Source organism: Homo sapiens, chromosome 10 (assembly GCF_000001405.40).
Source record: "Homo sapiens chromosome 10, GRCh38.p14 Primary Assembly".
Classification (NCBI taxonomy): Eukaryota; Metazoa; Chordata; class Mammalia; order Primates; family Hominidae; genus Homo; species Homo sapiens.
Window position 1 is genome coordinate 7,781,717 of NC_000010.11, and position 6,103 is coordinate 7,787,819.

General features: G+C 40.4%; 1 protein-coding gene across 5 annotated transcripts in view; it reads right to left on the reverse strand.

The window, feature by feature from the left end:
• KIN (Kin17 DNA and RNA binding protein) overlaps positions 1–6,103 on the reverse strand; it is a 37,032-nt gene that overhangs the window by 30,755 nt on the left and 174 nt on the right. For 4 of the 5 annotated variants that reach the window (NR_045609.2, XR_930485.3, NM_012311.4 and 1 more), the window contains exon 2: positions 1,365–1,459. The exons of the other annotated variant lie outside the window; for it this stretch is intronic. Coding sequence is in view for 2 of the 4 variants with exons in the window: in NM_012311.4 (NP_036443.1) it covers positions 1,365–1,459 (95 nt within the window). In the remaining 2 variants the exon portion in view is untranslated. The remainder of the gene's footprint in view (positions 1–1,364; positions 1,460–6,103) is intronic. 5 annotated transcript variants of the gene reach the window in all.

Consider the following 6,103-nt stretch of genomic DNA (forward strand, 5'->3'; position numbering starts at 1 on the left):
AAGCCATGACTATGCCACAAAACAAGACCCTGTCAAAAAAAAAAAAAAAAAAAAAAAATGCCTGGCATGTTGGCTCACACCTGTAATCCCAGCACTTTGGGAGGGTGAGGTGGGTGGATCACCTGAGGTCAGGAGTTCAACACCAGCATGGCCAACATGCCTAAACCCTTTCTCTATTAAAAATATAAAAAATTAGCGGAGCGTGGTGGCGCATGCCTGTAATCCCAGCTACTTGGGAGGCCAAGGCAGGAGAATTGCTTGAACCCAGGAGGCAGAGGTTGCAGCGAGCCAAGATGGTGCCACTGCACTCCAGCCTGGGCAACAAGAGCGAAACTCCCGTCTCAATAATAATAACAATAATAAAAATTTATAAACCAATTTTTTTAAAAAACTTGTTTTTATTTCCATGTGTTGATACATCTAACCCACATAAACAGAAGTTCTTGGGGTCTTCAATATTTTTTAAAAGTATAAAGGGGTCCTAGGACCAAAATGTCTAGAAGTTTGGAAAGAAAGAGATGGTAAGAAGCAAAGAAATGTTTATTAATGGTAATGATAAGAACAGCTAATCTGAATTGAATATAGGCACTCTTCTAAGCACTCATAAAGTGTTAATTCATTGACCTTCATATAAACTCTATGAAGGATCAGCAATACTTAGAAGAGGTTGCTATTTTTAGTGCCATTTTTTTTTTTTTTTTAGACAGAGTCTTGCTCTGTCGCCCAGGCTAGAGTGCAATGGTGCAATCTCGGCTCACTGCAACCTCTGCCTCCCCGGTTCAAGCAATTCTCCTGCCTCAGCCTCCTGAGTCGCTGGGATTACAGGTGCCCACCACCATGTCCGGCTAATTTTTGTATTTTTAGTAGAGACGGGGTTTTGTCATCTTGGCCACGCTGGTCTTGAACTCCTGACCTTGTGATCCACCCGCCTCAGCCTCCCAAAGTGCTGGGATTACAGGTGTGAGCCACCTCGCCTGGCTTCTTAGTGCCATTTTAGAGATGAGGAGAATAAACCACAGAAAAACTTAAGTAGGTCATCCAAAGGCATACAGTTTTTAAATGGAGAAGGATTTGAATTTGGGAAGTCTGAATGCAGAACCTATGTTCTTTGTCACAATTGTATTAGAATGAAAGACAGTTTTGTATATCTGAAGTGGAAGAAAGGAAAAACTAAGTTGTGAGAAATAATTTTGTAACAGTTTTATACTATGATTAATTTTCAAAAGAAGATAAAAACTGAGCATAGAGAGAATACAGTTAACATATAAGAAATAATAGAACTTCCAATATTTAAAATATTAACCATCTATTAAATGTTCAACTGAATAAAGCCTATAAGATAAAGAGTTCTTTGAGTTACTTACTCTGAAAAATAATCCATAAACTGCTGAGGATTTTCTGAAGCCAGCAATAGTTGTCTCTGATGAGATTCGGACATACAATGACACTTAAAGCCATTCTACAAAAAATGTAAAAGCAATAAATTCTGATTTAGGTCATCAAAATGGGCTCTAAATAGAAGTATTTAGTTAAAACCCAAAAAATCTGCTCTTTGATGATAAATTAAAATATAATCAAATCATTAGCTGTAACTACTCTATCAGGTTTTCAAAAAAAATTTTTATAGAGTTGAGCTTTCAACTCTGCTAATCAAAGAATAATCCTTGAGATCAAAGAGACAGCAAAAGAGTGTTGTAGAAAACAGACATTAATAAGAAACATACCAGGCACAGAAACAGAAGAGAGATTCCATTTTTTAGACTTAAGTTAATCAATTCTCATTGAGCACATACTTTATACAAAGTGTCAGACAAGTGCTCAAAGGAGTAAAATGGGTCATTAGTGAATTTTCACCACAGAAACTACTTTCGCTCACTTTCCTCTACTTCAGCTCATTATCCAAAATACATTGCTGCATATTATATTAACCTTGTTAAACATATTAAATCTGTACCTTCTTAAAATGACAGGAAAAAAACATACAAGTTTTGACTTAGTATACCTCTCCTTAATATTTGACCCTCATTCTTCACTAGTAATAGAAACAAAAAATGTGCCTTTCTTGTATTCCCTATCTCTATCTGAAGCACAAGCACCCAAGCCATGAAACCAGACAACATCCTAGATTCCTTCTTCTCTTTCTACCTCCAATTTAATAGGAAGTCTATTCAGCTTCTTAATAACCCATATTCAGTCCCTCTGATCAATCTCACTGACACCGTCCAGATTTCCACACTCGATTTTGCTTCAAATAGTTTCCTAATCTTTAGATCATGGACCTCTTACACAATTTTTGCCTCATCTGTGCCCTATAAGAATCATAGTTATTATTTAAATTTATTTTTAAAAGAAACTTGGTATCAGCCTCATAAATAAACAGTATCACTTTCCATATATTAAAAAATAAAATAAAATGAACAAACAATACAGTTACTAAATCCTAGAAACCCAGGAGTAGATTGGGGGGATACCCTGGCTCTGACCTTCATTCTCTTCAGCCTTCCAGTATCAGGAGATTACAGAAAAGAATTAATCCTTTACTCCTTTCCCAAAAAAATTGCATCTCAGTTTAACATTTAAGGATGGCCAGACACAGTGGCTCATGCCTGTAATCCCAGCACTTTGGGAGGCCAAGGCAGGAGGATTGTGTGAGCCTCCGAGTTCAAGACCAACCTGAGCAACACAATGAGACCTCCATCTCCACAAGATATTTTTTGAAAATTAGCCAGGCATGGGTGGTATGTGCCTATAGTCCCAGCTACTTGAGAGGCTGAGGCGGGAGGATTGCTTAAGCCCAGGAGTTGGAGGATGCTGTGAGCTATGATCGAGCCACTGTACTCCAGTCTGGGCAAGAGTAAGACCCTGTCTCAAAAACAAAAAAAAATAAGTTTAAGGATAACCAAATAGCCCTAGTTGATGAGCAAAAGCTCATTTGTACAAAAGCATGGCAGCCAATCATAAATGTTAAAAAAAAATTAGAAAAATAACCTCTTTGCAACTCCTAATAAAATAACTGACTCAGGCAAGGATGCTAAAACACACAGGTAAAAGGTTAATGGGAAACTAGATATATAGGTATGATTTCTAAGTATTACCCCAATACTCACTTGCTCTTACAAGGGGGAAAATAATACTTTCTAATATTATTTACAAGCTGTCACCTTTACTCAATTTAAGTACTACCAAACATTATTGGCTTCCTTATATGATGCTATATGAGATATACAAGATCACCTATAAAGAATACTATAGGCTGGGCATGGTGGCTTGAGCCTGTAATCCTAGCACTTTGGGAGGCCGAGGCAGGAGGAGTGCTTGAGTTCAGGAGTTTGAGACCAGCCTGGGCAACATGGGGAGACCCTATCTCTATACAAATAAAAAAGTTAATTAGGCATGGTGGCAATCACCTGTGGTCCCAGCTACTTGGGAGGCTGAGGCAGGAGGAGGATTGCTTGAGCTGGGAAGGTCAAGGTTGCAGTGAGCCATGATCGCGCCACTGTACACGAGCCTGGGCTACCAATTGAGACCTTGTCTCAAAAAAAAAAAAAAAAATCATATTCCTCCCTGCAAATGTTTAACCTGAAATTAATCTATCAAGATCACCTACAAAGTATTCTTTCTCCCCAAAATGTTTAATCTAACCCAATCAAAGCTTTTAGATATAATTTCCAGTTGACAGAAACTACGAGTTAGAAGGCAAAAGACAACCAGAGGAAACAAGTCAACATATATGGGATGCTACAGGACAACAGCCTGGCCTCCTCTCTTCAACAAGTCAATGTCAAGAAAAAGACGGCTGGGCGCAGTGGTTCACACCTGTAATCCCAGCACCTTGGGAGGCCGAGGCAGGTGAATTACCTGAGGTCGGGAGTTTGAGACCAGCCTGGCCAACGTGGCAAAACTTCGCCTCTACCAAAAATACAAACATTAGCCAGGTGTGGTGCCAGGCACCTGTAATCCCAGCCTGTAAAGTAGCTGGGACAGCTACTTGGGAGGCTGAGGCATGAGAATCACTTGAACCCGGGAGGCAAAGGTTGCAGTGAGCTGAGATCGCATCACTGCACTCCAGCCTGTGAGACAGGTGAGACTCTGTCTAGAAAAAAAAAAAAAAGAAAAAGGGGTGGAGGGAAAATGGGTTATATTCTAAATTCAGAATATAGAGAAAATTAAATTTGGAGAAAACTAAAAGTCCTAATAACTCAGAGCACAGAGGACTTTTTGGGCAGTTAAACTATTTTGTGAGATTTTATAATGGTGAATACGTATCATTATGCATTTGTCAAAACCCATAGGATGTACAACACCAAGAGTGAACCCTAATGTAAACTATGGATTCTGGATGATACTGATGTGTCAATGTAGTTTCATCCATGGTAACAAATATAACACCTCGTTGCAGGATGTTGATGATGAGGGAGACTGGAGAGGGGAGCGGAGGTCCTAATAACCAAACCTATAACAGTCTATTGCTTTTGATCGAATCTTGATTTCAAGGAGCAGTTGGAGGACAACTGAGGAAGTGTGAATGTGTATTAGATGATAAAGAGGAACTTCTATTAATTGTGTTATGTTGATGACATATACTATGGTTATATAGAAAAGTATCCTGAAATTTTAGAGATGCCTATTTAAGTATTTAAAGGTGAAATATCCTGATATTGGTATTTACCTTAAAATATTTTTTAAAAAGTAAATACGGCAAAATTACTTAAAGTGTTAAGTCTGGGTGTTACAGACTGCATGTCTGCGTCCCCTCAAAGTTCATATATTGAACCCTAACCCCCAAGGGAATGGAATTAAAAGGTGGGCCTTTGGAGATGACTGGATTTAGATGAGGTCACAAGGGTAGAGCCTGCATGATGAACAGGGTGGGACCGTATCTCAAAAAAAAAAAGAGGAAGAGAAGTTTCTATTAGAGCTTGCTCTATCTGCTTTGTGAGGATAGAGGCAGTTTCGCAAACCAAGAAGAGGACCCTCACTAGAATCTGACCATGCCAGCACCTTGATCTTGAACTTCCCAGCCTCCAGAACTGTGAGAAATAAATTTCTGTCATTTAAACCACCCAGTCTACTGCACTTTATATGGCAGTCCAAGCAGACTAAGACATTAGATAATGCATATACAGGTATTCCTTAATAGAACTAAAGAGAGTAACTGTATCAATATTAGTATGAGTCCTACCTAAAATACCTCTTCCTTCACTTGCAGAAACACTGGATTAGATTATTCCAATTGCCTCAGTGTTCTTCCACCCTTACCCAATCCAGTCCAATCTCCGGAGAAAAATATGATCACATCACTAGCCTGCACAGCATTCAATCAACCACCTCTTTAATGGGGAAAAGTGTAAATTCCATAGTGTAGCCATATAAGGCTTTTCGAGATCTGCCCAGACTCCTTGAGCCACTCTATATATACTTCACTCATTTAAAACTCAGCGACAATCCTACAAGTAGGTGAAATTATTATTCCCTCTTTACAGATAAGTAAAGGGGAATATAAGTAAATAACTTGCCCAAGACCACACGGTTGGTAAGTGGCCCTGCTTGACTTTAAATTTTGACAGTCTGATATATCCATAAACCAGATAAATCCATAATTTTAACCACAATATTATTCTGTGCCCGGTACAGTGTAGGTGCTCAATAAATGCTTGCTAGATGAGTAGTGTGGAAGAGCTTAGCTCTCCTTTTTCACCTGATCCCAAAAGAGGAGTGAATCCTAACCACCCTGTTTCTCTTAAGAGTCAAGTCAAGTAAGAGCTGATGACTGTTACTGGCATTGCCCGGGCGTCTAGTATTGCAGTATCCCCGCCCCTGTGAGGGGTGCAAAACCTTTTCTGATTTCATTTCTTTGGTGGTGGGGATCGGACTGGGGAGGAATGAGGGGTCGCAGAACACAGGCTGCCCGCTGGGCCCGGGGGCTGCGGGGAGGGACGGCTCTCGTGCGCTGAGTAGTTGACTCGCCCACTGCAGACCTCAGAAGCCTCACGACCCGGACCCCGGGAGCCCCAGCCCCGCGCCCTCAGCCCCGCGTCCAGGACCTGATCCTGGATTGCCAGGGGCCCTCCTGGGAAGACGGGGCCACTCCGGGCCCACTCAC